The sequence below is a fragment of the Homo sapiens genome, chromosome 13, assembly GCF_000001405.40.
Source record: "Homo sapiens chromosome 13, GRCh38.p14 Primary Assembly".
NCBI lineage: Eukaryota > Metazoa > Chordata > Mammalia > Primates > Hominidae > Homo > Homo sapiens.
The window spans coordinates 22,202,648-22,220,775 of NC_000013.11; the positions used below are offsets into that span (position 1 = coordinate 22,202,648).

General features: G+C 45.4%; 1 long non-coding RNA gene across 1 annotated transcript in view, besides 1 other annotated feature; it reads left to right on the plus strand.

Moving 5' to 3' along the window:
* Positions 1 to 7,637: 7,637 nt before the first annotated feature.
* Positions 7,638 to 18,128, plus strand: part of LINC00540 (long intergenic non-protein coding RNA 540) — a 66,237-nt gene continuing 55,746 nt past the window's right edge. The window contains exon 1 of the long non-coding RNA NR_103810.1: positions 7,638 to 7,781. This is a non-coding gene — a long non-coding RNA (long intergenic non-protein coding RNA 540). The remainder of the gene's footprint in view (positions 7,782 to 18,128) is intronic.
* Positions 9,523 to 9,702: a silencer, noted in NCBI's record as "fragment chr13:22786309-22786488 (GRCh37/hg19 assembly coordinates)". NCBI's record gives its function as "represses an EF-1alpha promoter that drives an FKBP-Casp9 reporter gene in an ReSE screen in K562 erythroleukemia cells {active_cell/tissue: K562}" and the evidence as "EXISTENCE:reporter gene assay evidence [ECO:0000049][PMID:32094911]".

Genomic DNA, 18,128 nt, shown 5'->3' on the forward strand with positions numbered 1-18,128 from the left:
TCATGGAAGGCAAAGAGTGTCAGGCTCATTAACTGCAGGAGCCATCCCGAGAGCTCCACTGCCCTTCTTCAGGCCTGATGTTTCTTGAAGAGCAGAATCAGTGAATTTCCAGCTCCATGTATGCTTCCCTTGTCCCCTGCTGGGAGATCTTAAAGCAGATATAATACTTATTATTAGATCATGACAGCAGTTAATACATTTTAAACTCAGAGCAGTGAAATTCGGCTTGCTGGTTTGACTTGGGAGTGTCTTGAACAATGAGCGATGAGTACATTGGCTGAGCAGAAAAGATGGAATGATATAAGATAGCTGCAATGTCTGGTGTGACTGTCCTCCCAGGCACCCGGTGTGAAGATGGCTGTCTTTGAATATAAGTACAACATTTCACTTTCTACAAGGACATCAGCACCCACCCCAGTCTGCCCCTGTGGCTTCAGGTTTTGGGATGCTTTCTGTGTCCTGTCATCAGTAGAGGAGGCAGAGGCGAGGGGATGGGAGCAGCTGGGCTCAGCTCTTTGAAGGCCTTCGGAGAAAAGGCTGAGATGATAAAGGAATTTCAATGCAACGCCTAGCAGCCCACCCACCTGTACCTGAGCCTACTCTGCCATCAGGGATGAAAGGGCAGCTGCTCGCCCATCCATTCTCTCTTCATTAATTTTCTTCGAAAATTGGGTCCCTTTACCTGCCCACTCGCTGCGACCAAATTTCAGTGTGGACATGGAAAGAGAAATAATGGGGAAGCATGTGATATGCAGAACAATAGCCAGTTCCACCAGGCCCACATTCTTCACGAGGTAGAGAAATAACAGCAATCAAGAACCATATTGTTATAGTCTGCTTTGAATAAAATTCACAAAAGTTCAATTAAGAAACCCTGTAGTGCTGCTTGCCTGAAATTTCAGTGCGTTCATCACAAAGAATGTCTGCTATTCCCTGTCTCTAAAAGGTGGTTGTTTCTGAAATGTAGTTTATCAGGCTGCTGGCTTTGAGGGTTGTTCTGCAGCTTCTCTCCTTTTCTCCAAGGCACGGTCCATCCTGGGTGGATTCACCAGGTGAGGCAGGCCAGGTGCTTCCATTTGCTGAGGAGGCCGCAACATCAGAAGTAACTCCTGATGTATTATTTGCCATCTTCTGCAAGAGCATAGAGAATATGGCGATTTCAGTCCTAAAAGCCCAAATCCGGGGAAATATTTGCAAAATCTGTAACAGAAAATTAATACTGTTGCTACATAAAGAGCTCTTTAAAATCGATACAATATAACTAGAGTTGTGAGAGTAAAATAAAGTTCCCATGTTTTGGGCCCAAATTGCCGGCATCCATGAGAAGAGTCAGGGGGTGAGCTGGGGCTATTGGTGTGGCACCCTGTAGGGGTGAGTCCAGGCATTTTGACTTCACTCCTGGTGTAGAGAGCAGATTGTGAAGGGAGGGTGTTGGGGATGGATGGAAGAGAAGGTGACATTGCAGCTGCAGTTCAAACATTTCTTTCTTGGGGAGAGAGCAGGATGAGGGGGCTGGAATAATAGCCTGTGCTAGAGAAGCCGGGAGTTCCAGGAGAAGGACCCCTGTGGCATTGAAAGAAACTGAATGGTAGGAGGAAAAACTGACTTAGTCATAGTTCGGAGGTGAGACTGAGGGAGAAGAAGGTTCTAAGGCTGACTCCTGGCTTTCTGTCCGAATAACAAAAACACTGCAGATGGCACCACCTCAGACAACGGATAAGCTTGGGAGGGGACCCGGGTTATTGCTGGAGACTGGAGGAGGAATCAGGGGTTCGGTCTGTGAGGTTACTGTGTGGTTCCCTGATGAATGACAGAGGAAGGGCTGAACTGCAGGTCTCAATTTGATACTTATCTCAGCATAGATAGAATTTTGGGCCCAGATATAGAGTTAACCTTTGAGGACCTTCAGAATTAAATGTCCAGGTGGAAGATGATGACTTTGCAAATGACTCAGAGAAGGAAAGGCCGGGAAAAATGGGGAAACCGGACAATAAGGAGAGAAAGCATTGGACGTGAAGCACATTGGATGCTGCTGGGAATGGACTGACAAGTCTCCTGGGTTCAGCGACGGGGAGCTTATTTGCAAGCTCTGCAAGAGTTGTGAACTTATGCAATGAAGGCAGGGACCAAGCTGGAGCAGGCTGAGAAGTGAGAGGGAGCTAAGAAACAAAAATGGCAGCTCCCAAGATCTTTAAAGAAGCTTGGTTATGAAAGAGCAGGGAGGAACCAGGAGCCACTTGATAGCCATGGGGTGAGCACTGAAGACACAGAAGAGTCAATGAATAGAAAAAGTTCCAAACTCCAAGGCACAGGCCTTGGAAAGGGGGACAGATTAAATGGAATTGTCAGCATGGTGTCTGGAGACAGTGGGAATTCCCATTTGATGACTCCAAGTTTTTTATGTAAATTAGGACTCAGGTGACTATCGCTGGAGGAGAGGCGAGAAGAACTGAACCATCCAATCAGAGTGGTCAGTGGGCTTACTGACTAGGCAGGTGTCATGGCAGAACATCTGCTGAAGACAGCGGCTGTTCTCATCTCTGCTCCAGAATCTTGTCTGCATGGTTAAAAATTGTTGCTTTGCAACTGTAGCTAGGATGGGAAACAGCATGAGGTAGTGTCTTAGTTTGCTGGAGCTGCCTAACAAAGTACCACCGATTGGAAGGCTGAAGCAAAAAAATATGTATTTCTCTAGGTTCTGGAGGCTGGAAGTCTGAGATCAAGGTGTCTGTAGGGCTGGTTTCTTCTGTGTCCTCTCTCCTTGGCTTATAGATGGCCGTCTTCTCCCCGTGTCCTCGCATGGTCATCCTATATGTGTCTGTGCCCTAATATCTTATAAGGACAGCAGTCATATTAGATTAGGGCCCATCCTAATGACCACATTTAACCTTAATCGCCTCTTTAAAGGCCCTGTCTCCTGACACAGGTCTATTCTGATATACTGGGTGTTAAGGTTCAGAAACATTTGAATTTTGAGGGACACAATTTAGTTCCCTCATCTAACAAGAAGATGAATGTTTCTTGTTAGAAAATGGCAATGTCTTACTCGCTATCTTTAAAGTTTTATTTAAATGTTCCAAGTGAGTGCTTGCCTTTAAAAACAAAAAACAACAACACAAAACTTTTATTACTTCTTGTATCCCTGAAGCCTGAATGTACACTTTGCACTGCATTTACAGCTTGCTTGCTTTCTCATTCACTGAAGTATCAAATACTTCATAGAAATTTTCCGTACTTTGTCTTAGTCCAAAAATTTGTTTTGAGAAGAAAGGGCAAGTAAAAGTCACCCAATTCTCTTTCAAGTAGATCCAGAGAAATGATATTGTTTTTCCTGTTTCTTTGAGAATTCTCTGGAGCAGCTTTGCTCTAAAATACTTTTAATAGGAGCTGAATTAAAGTTTTTTTTTTTTTTTACAACTAGTCTTGTAGTAAAGATAGTTTTAAAAAAGTGGATATTGATTTTTTTTACACCAAAAGTGAGATTGTTTTAGTATTATTTTTCTGAGAAAATGTTCAATTTCATCTTAGAGGAGTCTGACAAAGTAAATGAAATGCATTGTTTAAAGGTTTAACAGGTATTTTTCCCCTCATTTAAACGTATAGATATTATGATCACATTCTTCATGAATACATAACCTATTTTACTCCTTCACACTCTTTGTATTAGGGTAAAAATACTGATGGCTTATTAGGATATCAGATGTATCACTTCACATTAGATTTATCTGTGAGTTACAAAGGCCTGAAAAACAGTAGGTTAAACAGGATAGGAAAACGTTTATTCCTCAGGTAAGTCTGCTCAGAGCAGAGGAGTCCAGGACTTGGAAGTGGCTCTGTAGCCATGTGGAATGCAGACTGATGCCTTGGTAAAAAACCTCCTCCTCATAGTCCAAAGTGGCTGCAAGAAGTCCAGCCATCTCATTTGAGTTCTGATCAAAAGTGTGAATAAAGTAGTGAAAAATGTCATACTTTCTCCTTTCAAGGAACATTTCCGCAAGTTGCATCCATTTGCACTTAAATCTCACTGGCCAGAATTTACACCTAGATTCCTGGGATCCTGAAGAGTATGATCTTTTAGTGGGGTGAAATACTGTCCAGAATAAATTCTGTTGAATGCTGTGCAATGCTCCTAAGGAAGAGAGGGAGAAGAGATGTTTGTGGCCACGAGGACCGCTGGTTCCTTTGTGTACCATATGCATACCGTGGCTAGTCACTCTGGCTCTGGGCATAGAGAGGCCTGGGCCGCACAAGGATAATAATGGTAGCAAGAAATTAAGAAAACACATGAGCAGTGTTTTCCAGAGCCGGCACTTTCAGAGCCATTATCTCAATCAGTCCTTATAATGATGTCCTGAGGTGAACAGTATCCCAGTGCCATGGACACTCATGGTATAATGTAAATTTTCTAAAATAATTCAATCCATAAGGGATGAGTCCCTCATTCTGGGATCTGAGTAAAAAATCTGCCTGCTGTCTGCTGGGCCAGGCTGCCTTGGCATCCCTTGTGGTAGTGAACGCTCTGCCAGCTGGTACTGCAGAGAGGTGGGGTCATCCCTGCCCCTTCACCTGAGCTCGCAAATCCCATTATTTTTCTTTGCTCATATCCCTTACATCTGTTCATTCCCTATCTCTACCACCACTACTATCTCTCCCCTGGATGGTTGCAGTGGCCTTGCGAGTTACACGTGTTTATGGCATTCTCATTCCCTTCCAAATGATCCAAAATGTAAAGCCAGGCACATCCCTTACCTCCATCAAACCCTTCTGTGGCTCTTCTTGCCTTCAGGATAAAGCCAGCTTCTGGGTTAAACCCCACCCTCCACGATCTGGTCCTGACAGCCTTCTCTCTTACTGGCGCTTTTTCCCACAAGCTTGGGCTTTCCATCAATTTTGAGCTTCTTTCATTTTCTGAATTGTTCCCCTCCTCCTCTGTCTCTGTTTTTTGTGCTTCCTCTGTCTAGATGTCCTGTTTGCCTGACTGACTCCTGTCCACCCCTCAGGGCTGGAGAGAAGCTTCCACAGAGAAGCCCATCCCTCCGGAGGCTGGCCAGGGGCCCCGGCTGTGTGTTTAGCTGTGTTGCATGGTCATCTCTTGCTCATCTCCCCAGGTAAACAGCTAAACCTCAACGGCAATGCATTAACTGTGTCTTTTTATTCTGATGCTTTGACATCTGGGTCCTGTGGACCCTGAGAGGCTGCCCCTCCCAGGGTGAGCCAGTGTCTGTAGTGTTAAAACACTTGCCTGCAGACACACCCTCTTTTGCAAACCAACCAATCCAGAGCCCACACCCCACATCTCCTCCGTCAGGCTCCCATCCTCTGGGCCACTATTCCTCTGATCACCCCAAGGTTAGGGACCAGACAACTAGGAACAGCCCTATACCAGGGCCTGCTGAAATTATTCAAACCAGCCAGTCCTAAGCCTGCCCACCCTGCTCTGCCTGTTCCTTCCCGTGGAAACCACAGTAATGCCTCCTCCCCACCATGTCCTCTTGCTCCCGACGCCGGTGGTTCCCATGTGGCCCTGTGTGGTTTGGAGTGCCCCCTCCTCTTGGGAACTGAGTAACACACTCTCCAATGGTGTTGTCTCCTGAGCAGTTGGCCTCATCATACCTGAATAAGAATGCAACCCCCATTGTCAAACAGGCAAGGGCTTTGTCTTCTTCCCATGGCACCGGCTGTCCTCACAGTGCTTGACACACAGTAGGTGCTTAGTATGCACTTATTCAGTGATTGGCTGGAGGAAAGAAGGAGGGGTTTGAAAGAATCCAGGAAGGCTTCCTAAAGGGTGTCATTCAAATGGTGCATCAAGGTGAAGCAGGGCTCTCCATGCGGGGATGCCTGGGAAGGACGTCCTAGGAGGCTGCGCAGCCATCGTCTCTGCCTGGGATACTGTTGGCTTGCCTGCCTTTCTTAGCTGTCCACACCTCTCTGATACCTTAGCTGCTTGTTGTGTTCCCAAGAAGCTCCCTGCCCAGTCAAACTGAGTAAAAGCACTCAATTATGTGGATTTTCACAGCACTTTGTCACTCTGCTTTTGGTACTAGGAACAATTTGTAATTTTATACTTGCTTCTGTAATATGATGGCTGGTCGTGTCCGTTCCTCTAGGTCATTAGCTCTCGGAGGGCAAAGACTTGGCTCGCGCCTGTAATCCCAGCACTTTCGGAGGCCAGTGTGGGCAGATCACGAGGTCAGGAGTTCGAGACCAGCCTGGCCAACATGGTGAAACCCTATCTCTACTAAAGATACACACACACACACACACACACACACAAAATTAGCTGGGCATGGTGGCGCATGCCTGTAATCCCAGCTACTCTGGAGGCTGAGGCAGGAGAATCGCTTGAATCCAGGAGGTGGTGGTTGCAGTGAGCTGAGATCATGCCATTGCACTCCAGCCTGGGCAACAGGGCGAGACTCTGTCTCAAAAGAAAAAAAAAAAAAGAAAAAATTCAGTAATATTTGTTGGATAGATGAACGCATACATTTAGGACACAGAGGGTGTTTTAGAGTCACTGAACAATATGGCCCCCACCGGGGCATGCAAGGAAATGCCCTGGAAAGGTAGGCTGGGGCTGGGTGAGGTAACCGTGCTCGGGTTTCAGTCCTGCAGCTGCCATTTTGGAAACAACCATCTTATAAAGAGAAGGTGAGACCATTGGTGAGGGTGGAAATAGGGGAATGAGGAAGAGATGGCAGGGCATTGGAGAGAGGGAAGGGTGTTCTGAAGTGTGTTTCTGCAACTCTATGGAAGGAGTCGAGGTTGAACCCCTTACAAATATCTGTCACCATTTTCTGGCCTCAACTCCACAAACAGTGTGAAAGCACTCCCGGTTCTAGTGATGGGAAATGTAGTTTCAGGGTTCATTCATCTGCCCCTTGTCAGCAATTTTTCACAGGCCCTCTTTTTTTTTTTGTAAGTCAGAAAAGATTCACATAAGAAAATGCAGCACATTCAGGAAAAACACATACAAGCTTAACGCAGATCCGTTGTTTACTGAGCTGGTGAACCCATGGCTCCCTTGCAAGGCTGCATTGTGAGTCTTCTAGGAGAATTGATCCTATGCTTGTGTGTTGCTATATGAAGCGCTCCTGTGATTAGGTTTTAAACAAGGACAGTGTGAAAAGGAGAAAATCTGATCCCAGTTTTTCTATTTGTAATAAAAAATAATGACAAAGAAAACTTAAACGGCAAAATCTTGAATTCTTAAGTCTCTAATCACACACACATAGACACAAGGTACACATTAATCCATCTCCCTTTGTATGAGGAAAGACCACTATGTCACAATTTCCCTTTGCTAACAATTCCATGTTATCTCTTAACTGAAATGGATTTAATAACTGGGAGACTGAGAGCCATTGAGCTTTGATGACCCTTTAGTGGCCTCAAGTTATAGGACAAAAACTACTGAGGAAGTATCTTCTAAGGACTTTGGTGATTTCCGTAAATGACTCCACTTTAAATTGCTGGGATTGTGTAGCCTCCTACAATTACTGGTGTTCTAATTTCCTGGGACTAATTTTAGAGGGTGGAAGATTTTAATCATGGAAAGGAATTGTTTCCATTGTTCAGACTAACTTCAGAAGCAGAGTTGAAAGCCAGGGCCAGAGAGAGCCCCCAGAACATTCCACAGGGGCTGGGCGGGCCGGCCCAGGGCCTGCCTATGGCCTGAAAGAGAAAACCTGCCACGGAGCCCGGGCTTCTCTGATCCTCCCGCCAAACTTTGTCTCTCATTTAGCTTTCTTTGTGTCTGAGGATTTAGCAAAGGCCTCAGGGTGAGTTTCTGCATATCCTTTTTCCTTGGGAACCCCGGTGGTTGACGGGGGCCCCTGGTAATGTGGCCTTAGGATGCTGGCCTTCTGAGTTCCTGTGGAGGGAGCAGGCATGGGGGAGGGTTGAAGTGTGGGGCTCTGTCTCTCTTTGGCGTCCCCCAACATAGAGCTTTGTGCACCTTTCTTTCTCTCTGCTCACACCCCCATGCCCTGCAGATGGGAGCAGACACCAGCAGGGCTTCCCATTCTAGCCCCAAGGAGTACCCATATGCCTGGAAGGGCACCTCAGCGTCCAGCCTGCCCAGCCTGTGAGGCCGTGTGACCTCTTCAGAGCTAACTCGCCTTTCTTTCCTGTCCGTGTGGATCCGCACCCCCAACCTGCACCATCTTCAGATTAAGATTTTGGATTTATGGAAAAATAGCTATTTCATTCACTGTCACCTACTAAAGGTGTGTCACAAGTACCAGGTCATGGGCAAAATCATACTGCTGGTGTCTGCGGCTCCCTTCCCTGCTTGGTCTCCTATGCAAGACCTTCTGGTGGGAGGAAGCCTTTCTCACTGATTTTTATTTGGAATTTCCGCATGCTGCCTTCCTGCCCGTGGAGTACTCTGCTTTGAAATGTCCTAGGAATACTTGCATTGGAAGAAAATACTCAACACAATGCATTTCAGTAGATACAAATTCAAAAGGAAACTCCTGGGTGGTGGGGTGGTCAGAAGACTGTATTAATAAAATTTACAGTAAATGAAAAATGAAGAGAAAAAAATACATATACACTTCATGTCTCCCGCTAACTGTGTTCATTCCTAATACATTTAATAGTGGTTCATTTTCTTTTCTATGTCTCCAATTTTTCTGTGAGGAACATACTTATAGACCATGGAAAGGACACATTCTGAAATGTGTCATTGCACACCAGCCTGGGGACGCTGCTCTGAGTCACACTTCAGGTCCTGGGATCTGGGCTCTTGAGCAAATGTTAGAAGTTTTCCAGTCCAGGCTCCTGCCTCATTTAAGCTGGTATTTTCCTGAATGCCCTTCCACGATGCTGTCCACCCGTGCCTGAACAGTCCCAGTTAGAGGGAGGTCACCACCTTCCAGGCCACAGAGTCCCTTCATGGGCAGCTTTATTGTTAGAAACAAAAAGAATGAAAAACAGTGGGGTTAGGTAAAGATGAGAAGGATGGAGAAGGAATAGAAAACATTGCTAATACGTTGAATTTGATAGATGTTTGGCTGGGTTTCCCATTTGAGCCACACAGAACCAGGCGATCTTTCACAGACTTGGCACCCTCTCCTCTTTGAGAGCCGAATCATGCTTCCTCTTCATTTCCACATTGTCAACACCCCAAGTTCCTTCAATCCCTCATTAAACAGGCTTGCTTTTAGCTCCTCACCACTCAAGTTACCTCCTTCTAAACTAATCATAGTCAAATTGTCCTCGAAAAGTGTATTTCCTGGAGCCCAGCATGGCGCCCTGCAGTGGGCATGGGCACGGGCGGTGCACTGCATGGGACTTTTCCTTCTCTCCATCCGGGTGCCATACACGAGGGTTTTCAGCTTAGGGCAGCATTCGCGTTTTCAGTGGTTACATCGCACCGTCAGCTTACATTAACTTTGTGGTCATCTCTGCTCCAATATCTCAGACTCATCGAGTGAGTCAGAAGCAGGGTCAGGGGAGACGTTTCCATTGTGTCTGTGTGGAGGTGTCAGGGGACATTAAGGCAGTCACCATGTGGGACCCTAGGAGAGGAGCCAGCAGGGAGGAGCGGCTCTCTGACAGCAGGGCCTGCAGGATGATGGAGCCGCACCTGCTGTGAGAGTCGTTTCAGAGCCAGTGCCCCTTTAGGTGAGTGCACACTGTAGGGATGACAGAGTTGTGCAAAAACTAAAAGCTTCGGCTGGGTGCAGTGCCTCATGCCTATAATCCCAGCACTTTGGGAGACCGAGGCAGGTGGATCACCTGAGGTCAGGAGTTTGAGACCAGCCTGGGCGACATGGCAAAACCCTGTCTCTACTAAAAATACAAAAATTAGTTAGGCATGCTGGCGCACGCCTGTAGTCCCAGCTACTCAGGCTGAGGCGGGAGAATCACTTGAACCCAGGAGGCGGAGGCTGCAGTGACACGAGATCACACCACTTCACTCCAGCCTGGGCGATAGAGCAAGACTCTGTCTCACAAAAAACAACAAAACTCTAAAAGCTATGCCATGAGGGGCTGAAGTATCCTCGTTGTGGAAAGGCAGGTTACGCAGAGCACAGCGACCGGGAGCCCCAGGCAGTGGTGTGCCAGGCAAGCCAAGTGGAGGGGAGGACAGAGGCAGGTGTCAGGGAGTGGGTAGCGTTGGGGACATGGCCGCTGTCTAAAGAGGCACAGTGGACTTGGAGAGAATTCTGGAGCAGTGAAGAGCCACAGAGCAGGCGACAGCCTTGAGTTTAGTGCAGGGACTGAGTGGCCACTCAGTCACATGTAAGTGGGCAGCAGCAGCTGTGTTGTGATTCGAGGGCCACAGTCCGTGTGGCCTGGGATGAGGGCAGTCCTTCCTTGCCTGGCTATTTTCTTAGAGATGATAGTCTAAAAGGAGAGCAGTTCATGCCTCGAACAAAGCCCCACCCAAGTGCAGGATATCAAGGCAGATGAGAAGCTTCTCTGTGACTTCCGGGAGGATGCTGGAGGAATGAGAGGACCTCAGAATGGGGCCAAATGAGGTCCTGCCAAGGGCAGATAAGAGCCATTTGGGCTGTTGATGGGACCTTAGTGGTATCCACAAATAATCTGGCCTGGGGGTTACAAGGCTTTTCTTATCCACAGAAATGTTTTAAACTAACCATGTGAACATTGTTTTAATAGAAGCTTTATGGTGAGAAATCACAGAGTAAAATCGCCATTTAATTCTGTGATTTCCTGAACCGAGCTGGGTCCAGGGCAGACCCGCGTGTTTGGATTGTGTGGACTAGGCCACATCTGGGGCTATTAGCAGTTCTCTTCAGTTCTTCCTCTCAGCGTGTGTGGCTCTCCTGCATGGGATCCCCAGCCTAGACAATGGAAGACTTCCCCACACACTCTGGAAGACTTGGGGATAAAAACTGTTTGGTGCCCAGGTCAGACCACAGAGATGTTTAAAGCTTGATTTTAACTTTAAGGTTTGAAAATCAGACCATTTTAATGTTTCATTTTAGACTTACTCGTGCTGTTTCCCTATTGCCAAATTTCACTTTCATAAGGATTTTACTGTAGAGGGATTCTCAGGTGAGATTCTCTGGTTCACGCTTTGACATTCTAATCCATAAAATTCAGCAACAGATAGGATCACTACAAAAAACCCACTTAATATTGCTATGATGACTTACACGCCCCTTTGTAAACTCACTTGAATCATCAACATGTGTCTTTCTTCATAAGAACGTACACTGAAAAAAGGATTTTGCATGTATCTTGGGTTGGAGATCCGTTCTAAGACGTGTGATACATTTCGATTTAGAATTTTTCCAGAAAAGATTTTTCATTTACAGTCAATTGACTTGCGTTTTCTTTTTCTCCCCTCTTCTATTGCGCTGAACTTAAAACCCATTTTAGCTGTTATTTTTGTATTTATTGGATTGCAACCCTCTTAATGAGATTTAAATGAAAAGTCCTGAAGTGCCCAATCTAGACTTCATATTGCGCCCACATGGTTTGCTAAAGCAGGTACCATACCAGTGGGGATCCCTAGTTGTCACAGCTGTAGGAGCCTCCTAATTGCTTGTGACATGGTGCTGCCTTTTGATCTTGACCATGTTCTCCTAATTATTTAATCTTTGACAACATGAAAACATGTTTAACCACATACCATGAATTAAGATCCAGCACGACTTTTCTCCTGAGGCCTAGTTCTGCGTGCATATTCTTTATGTGCATAGCAGCTAAGGAAAAAAAAAAGTTTATTTCCTGTCATCTGTTGAAGGGGAACTAGGGGATGGGGGTGGTGTGTGCGTATGAACATCCCTCCAGCCTCTCCCTCTCTAGACTTCTGCTGATACATTTCTTGTTTGTTCTGAATTACCCCTGAGTTGTTGAATTCTCAAATGCACTGTTTTTAGGCTGGTATTGTCTGACAGTTTTTTTCTAGCCTGGGGAAGGCAGGGAGTAGGAACTCATTGTTAGACAAAGAAGCAGGGAATTGATTCTGGTGTGTTACACTTGTGCTCTTCTATTTAGGAATATTTATGTTTTATTTTATTTAGTTCATGTGTCTGTTTTCTTCAATGGATTCTAAGCTGCTTGTTGGTAGGGGCCTTACTATGTCATCTATGAATCACCTGTGCATAAAAAATAATTGCTGTGTGTGGCTGGGCGCGGTGGCTCACCCCTGTAATCCCAGCACTTTGGGAGGCTGTGGCGGGCTGATCACGAGGTCAGAAGATCAAGATTATCCTGGCTAACATGGTGAAACCCCGTCTCTACTAAAAAAAAATACAAAAAATTAGCCAGGCGTGGTGGCGGGTGCCTGTAGTCCTAGCTACTCAGGAGGCTGAGGCAGGAGAATGGCGTGAACCCGGGAGGGGAAGCTTGCAGTGAGCCGAGATTGCGCCACTGCACTCCAGAGCCTGGGCGAGAGAGTGAGACTCCATCTCAAAAAAAAAAAACAAAAAAAAACAAAAAAAAAAAACATTGCTGTGTGAATGAATGAATGAGCAAATGGGTACATTAGTTTCATGAATCAATGAGTGAATAGTAAATGACGTTTGTCTTTGGGGACTTCGCTAATGCCATATGTGTACCTACTGAGGCATCTCTGTGAAAAATCTCAGGAAAATCTGCGTTGTTTCTTATTGGGGCATCTTGCTCTGATCGCTCTCTGCATCTCTTCTTAATTATGGCAAAAAGAATATACCACATAAAGATTTTTCTCCTGGGTCTGAACAGTACAGCCCCAGTGTTCTGTAACTGACAGAGGCACACCAAACTTTTTTGCCTGGGGCACCAATATCCACCACATATGCTAGAAGGATTTATCTCAGCTCCTGACCTATTGCTATTTCCTCGCAGAATTGTTTGCCAGGGTAACAGGCTGCCTATGTATTTTGTTTAATATTTGTTGGGTAGAGGGTTAGGGTGAGGGTGGGGGTGAGGGTTAGAGTTAGGGAATCAAGGCTGTGTTGGAATTCTCACCAGTGGCTTGGCAATGGAATACATCACAGGTTGCAAACTTTTCTGCAAGTGTCAAGGTAATAACATGTCAGCCTTGCGGCCTTGTGGGTCTCTGTCACAGTGGCTCAACTTTGCGGTTGTAGCAGAAAAACAGACCTGGACGATGCAAAATGGCCATGGTGTGTTCTAGTAAACCTGAAATTCGAATTTCTTGTAATTTTCCATGTCATGAAATATTATTCAACTTTTGTTTCCCTCCGCTGATCATTTAAAAATGTAAAAACCATTCTTACCTCGTGGACTGTAGTTGGCTGCCCCTGCAAGGCGGGGACAACACGTACTTATTGTACTTTGGGGGACCCATAAGAAGACTGCAGTGAGATGGAGCAGGATGAAAACAGCACCCCTACTGAGGAAGCCTTTTGCATGAAAGGACAGCATTGTTGTGAAGGACAGTACTGTTGTTCACCATAAACTTCCTTTCCATTGGCTTCCAACAAGTTGTTGGTGGGTTTTTTTGTTTGTTTTTTGGGGGTTTTTTTGAGACAGAGTCTCACTCTGTTGCCCAGGCTGGAGGGCAGTGGTGCGATCTTGGCTCACTGCAATCTTCAGCTCCCAGGTTCAAGCGATTCTCATCCCTCAGCCTCCTGTGTAGTTGGGATTACAGGCATATGCCACCATGCCCTGCTGATTTTTGTATTTTTAGTAGAGAAGGGGTTTCACCATGCTGGCCAGGCTGGTCTCGAACTCCTGACATCGTGATCTGCCCGCCTCGGCCTCCCAAAGTGCTGGGATTACAGGCATGAGCCACCGCACCTGGCCCTGTCGGTGGTTCTTGTTTGTTTTTGTTTTTTGAGACAGAGTCTCTCTCTCTGCCGTCCAGGCTGGAGTGCAGTGGCGCAATCTTGGCTCACTGCAACCTCCACCTCTTGGGTTCAAGCTATTCTCCTGCCTCAGCCTCCAGAGTAGCTGGGACTACAGGGGCACACCACGGCTAATTTTTGTATTTTTAATAGAGATGAGGTTTCACTATATTGGCCAGGCTGGTCTCGAACTCCTGACCTTGTGATCTGCCCGCCTCAGCCTCCCAAAGTGCTGGGATTATAGGCGTGAGCCACCGTGCCTAGCCCTGTTGGTGGTTCTTAAGGCCGTTCTTAACTTTAGTATTCTACCTTTGGTTGTGTTGCCCTCTGAGACTGTGTGACCTTTAACAGGCTGGGAGCTGGAACTTCAAAGTCCCAGAGTCGTCTCTGCAGAAGGCATATTTCTGCCAGCATCCTGTTTTCTGTGTAAGATTATATCATGACTGTTGTCCCTGTCAGTTTGGCTACAGAGAAGAGATGCTTTGGGATTGGAAAAAAGTATGCTTTGGCATCTACGCCACTGGGCAGCTCCATGGGAGTGACTGAGAGGAAAAGGATCAGGCAGTGCCAGCCAAGAACTTCCTTGGACTTTAATGTCACAGTGTTCGCCTGCACACTTACAGGGGTTACAGGTCTTCTCTAGTCTTTGTGTGGGGTCTCAGCTGTCCTATTTGTACTAATAACGTAAAGGGAAAGGGTAAAAGAGGTTCTTTTTGCCCGTCTCATAATAGCATTTTTTTACGCTCTAAATGAGTTAATCAAGCCATCACATATTCCAATGCCTTTATCATTACTTAGGTAAAAGTCTGGACTTCATGCCTGCAAGAATTGATAAGAAACCAATCCTTGGGATTTTAGCCTCTAATTCTTTTTTTTCTTTTTATAAAATTACTTTCGAAATGAAAGGAGATAGAGGGAAAATACAACATTGAGTCATCTGAGACCAACTTCATCCCATGATGTTTTAATTTCAGGAATATTTTTCCAGAACTCATTCCAGAATTGGACAAAAAAATAGAGTAAGTCTAAGGAAAGATTTACCTGCATTTTTTTTCCAATTTTTTGCTAAGTCCTCTGTTCCAACTCCCATTTGTCACACACAGCCACATTATCTGATACTTACGCCTGAAAAATGAGAACGATGCATTCACATATAGATGGAAAGTTATTTTCTTAGAAATTCAAGGAGCAAAATCAGCTGTCAATAAGCTTTTAGAAGGAAAGGAAAGGATTGCTAGGAATGTGAGTGTGATGGAGCATTTCTAGTAATATTTGAGACACTATTTGCAACACCTGTTCCAAACTAAATAAAACATTATATAGAGCGTGTGGAGCAACTTCTGCTCACATCTCATGTTTGCTGCAGGAATACAGAACGCACACACACTCATGTCATGGACACATGTGTCAAATTGATCATACTCCAAAATCTGCATGATCAAACAGTTCTCAAGTAATTTTAGTCCTTGACATAATCCACTTCTCAGTCTCAGGACCTTTTAGAGCTGTTTCCATGAATACTGATTTAAAGTCACCCATGTGTGCAGAATGAAGAATGGAATGAGAAACATCACACAGCAGCAGAATGCAGAGGGATCTCTCATTTCAAAACAAAACCAGTATTTGGGTTTGCCATGACTGCACAACTGTACTTCTGCACAGGTGTCTTCGTTGCAGGCACATCGTTCTTTTATTTAAAGGTTTAGAGCGGGGGTCAGGGTCTGTGCTGATTTTATGGATCAATTTTTTAAAACTTGTATGATATAAGGAAGAGATGATTCTAATTTCTTTAAACAATTTCCATACAATGCTATTTATTCTCATCACTTTAGAAAAATGTACTTCATAGTAATCATTTGTTCTAGGTGGGCATCACATAGAACTGGGTAAGTGGGTCCAGTCCCACCCAATCCATGCACCCATCATCTGAATAAAACACAGCAACATGTAGAGAGACATAGTATGGCTCACCCTGCTGGGATAGAGTTGTGTTTGTCTCTGTTTTAGTGAATTTTCATTCACATTTCTCCATTGATCATCCTTCTCAATATAGAGTGTATGGGAAATAAAAGCCTAGCAACATCTCAAAGAAGTGAGTTTTAAGGAAAGTTATAAAACAACTACAAAGATTGACAGAATAAACGTTTTCTGGGAATCACTACACAGGAGGATTTACCAAGTTTTGAGGGTATACTCATGTGAATCTGCAGATACATTTGTCGTAAGGTTTGGGCAGACAGTGGGACAAAGTGACTGAGACAAAAAGGAGTCCTAACCTTCAAGGCTTTCAGGACCTGGGCAGATAAACTGACCATGGGAAGTAGCCAGACTTAATACAGAGGTGGCGGTGAGGCTTGGCAATCCAGAGAACATTTGTCATGGCTCCAGGGATTTGGATCCAATTTTTAAATAATAAATGTGCAGGCCAGACAAAAATGCACCTGTAGGCTATGATTTGTAACCCATGAACCAAGTGTTCGTTGGGTGCAGGGTGTGTCCCCACAGTCGAACCACCCAAATGCACAGACAGAATGTTTGAACTCTGTGTAGTGAACAAAGGGCTATAAATAGAGCCGAGTTCTGGAGTCACTGCTGAATCTTGGCAAAGAGATCTCAAGATCACAATCAGAGAGGGAAGGCATCCAACGAGCAAGAGGAGGAGAAGGAAAATAACAGCTCAAATGCTTCAGGAAGGTGGACAATTGCTCATTTATCCACTCATTTATTCTTTCTTTTTTAAATTGTTGCTGGTTTTGAGTAATATATTGCCTGCTTTCATTATTCATATTCCTAAAAACCAGGTAGTCATCTCCCTGGGATGATGTCAAAACAGAATAAAAATGGCAAACGTGATCTCAGCGTTGTAATCTGTCCTTTGCCCTGCTGGGGTCATTCCTTGCTTTCCTGAATGCATTTAAGAAGAAAATTATTTTCTTGCTGCAGAGACTTTGTGTCTGTTGGGTGGTGGGACTCTGGGGACACAGTGTTGATGTGGCTGCCTCAGAAGAAGGAAAATCTTCTTATTCTGCACTTTCTAAAGAGAAGGACAACTTCAGTGAGTGGCTGAAGCTGTGAGGGCTTTTCAGACATCAGATGGTTGACTTCTATGAACCCTACAGAAGATAATGTTGCATCATGCTGGCACTTTACATTCTAAAGAGCATAGCAGACACAGAGAAATACATTTCCTTTTACAGTAAAAAAAATAAAAACTTATGTGCAGGTCCTCTTGATATCAAACCTGAATTGTGTGTCTGATCAGTGTTCCCTAGATGATGAACGTCAGGGAAGGATGACAATTGTAGGATGACAACTGGGAAATGAGGTGCAGGATGGAATCTTGGAGAACCACAGACCTTAAAGAGAAAATGTCATTTCCAATGGGAAGATGAGGATGAAAATGGCTTTCAAGCCACAGGACCCACAGGGTTGGGTGATGACATCATTCCAGCGCCACTGTCTTTCCCCTTGCCTTCTTGTCTTTCTCCTCGCTCCTCTCTTTTGTTCCCTGGTTTTCTTTCCACTTCCTGCTGCTTCCTAGGAGACTCAGGAGACTGGACCCAGAGCCTCAGCAAGTGAGTCTTTCCCACCCTGTTCTACTCATTTTTCTCAACCCAGGTCTGAAGACCACCTTGAGGGATAACAGGGTAATTCAATTTCCAATCCCATTTCATTCTCAGTCTCTCGGTAGAGACTACCAACAAGGCACCAATTAGGGGAAACAAGAGGCCCAAGGAAAACAGAAGTTTGCTACTGTATTGCCTGTGTGTGTTTTGACATTTAGTTTGAACTTCAACCTGGCCTGTGCTCCTTTGGGAGCTTTTAAAAAGAAATAAACTTCATCTCATTACCATCAGATACAATGATGGGGGAAATGGGCTGGAAAAACCCTGAATCTTTTCTGAGCCCTATTTTGTGCTTACAAAGAGAAGGGCAAATTCTTCACTGCTGTGCCATTCAGCTATTATGTTTAACAATCTAATTAGAAAGGCCGGGTAGCCTATTCCCATTGTAAAAGCTAAGACAGTACACACAAGCAAATCTAATTAGACAGCTGTCCTTTACAGATCGGAGCTGCCCTCCGGCCAGGTTCTAATGAACGACCCGCCACCCCAGCCCCTCCCTGCAGCCCCCAAGAGATGGATTTTGTCCATAAACTGGGCCAGATGACAGTGGCGGCACATTGAGTGCTGCCCACCCTGCGACAGGCATCTGCAGTTACCTGCTCATCGGCACGCAGCAGGAAGTCTTCGCTGGGGCTCCTGCCCAGCGGACTTTACTGCACCCTCACCGGCCTTGGCTCCTGCCCAGACCTGAGCCCTATTCTCCTTCTGGACTATAATGCCTGCCCCA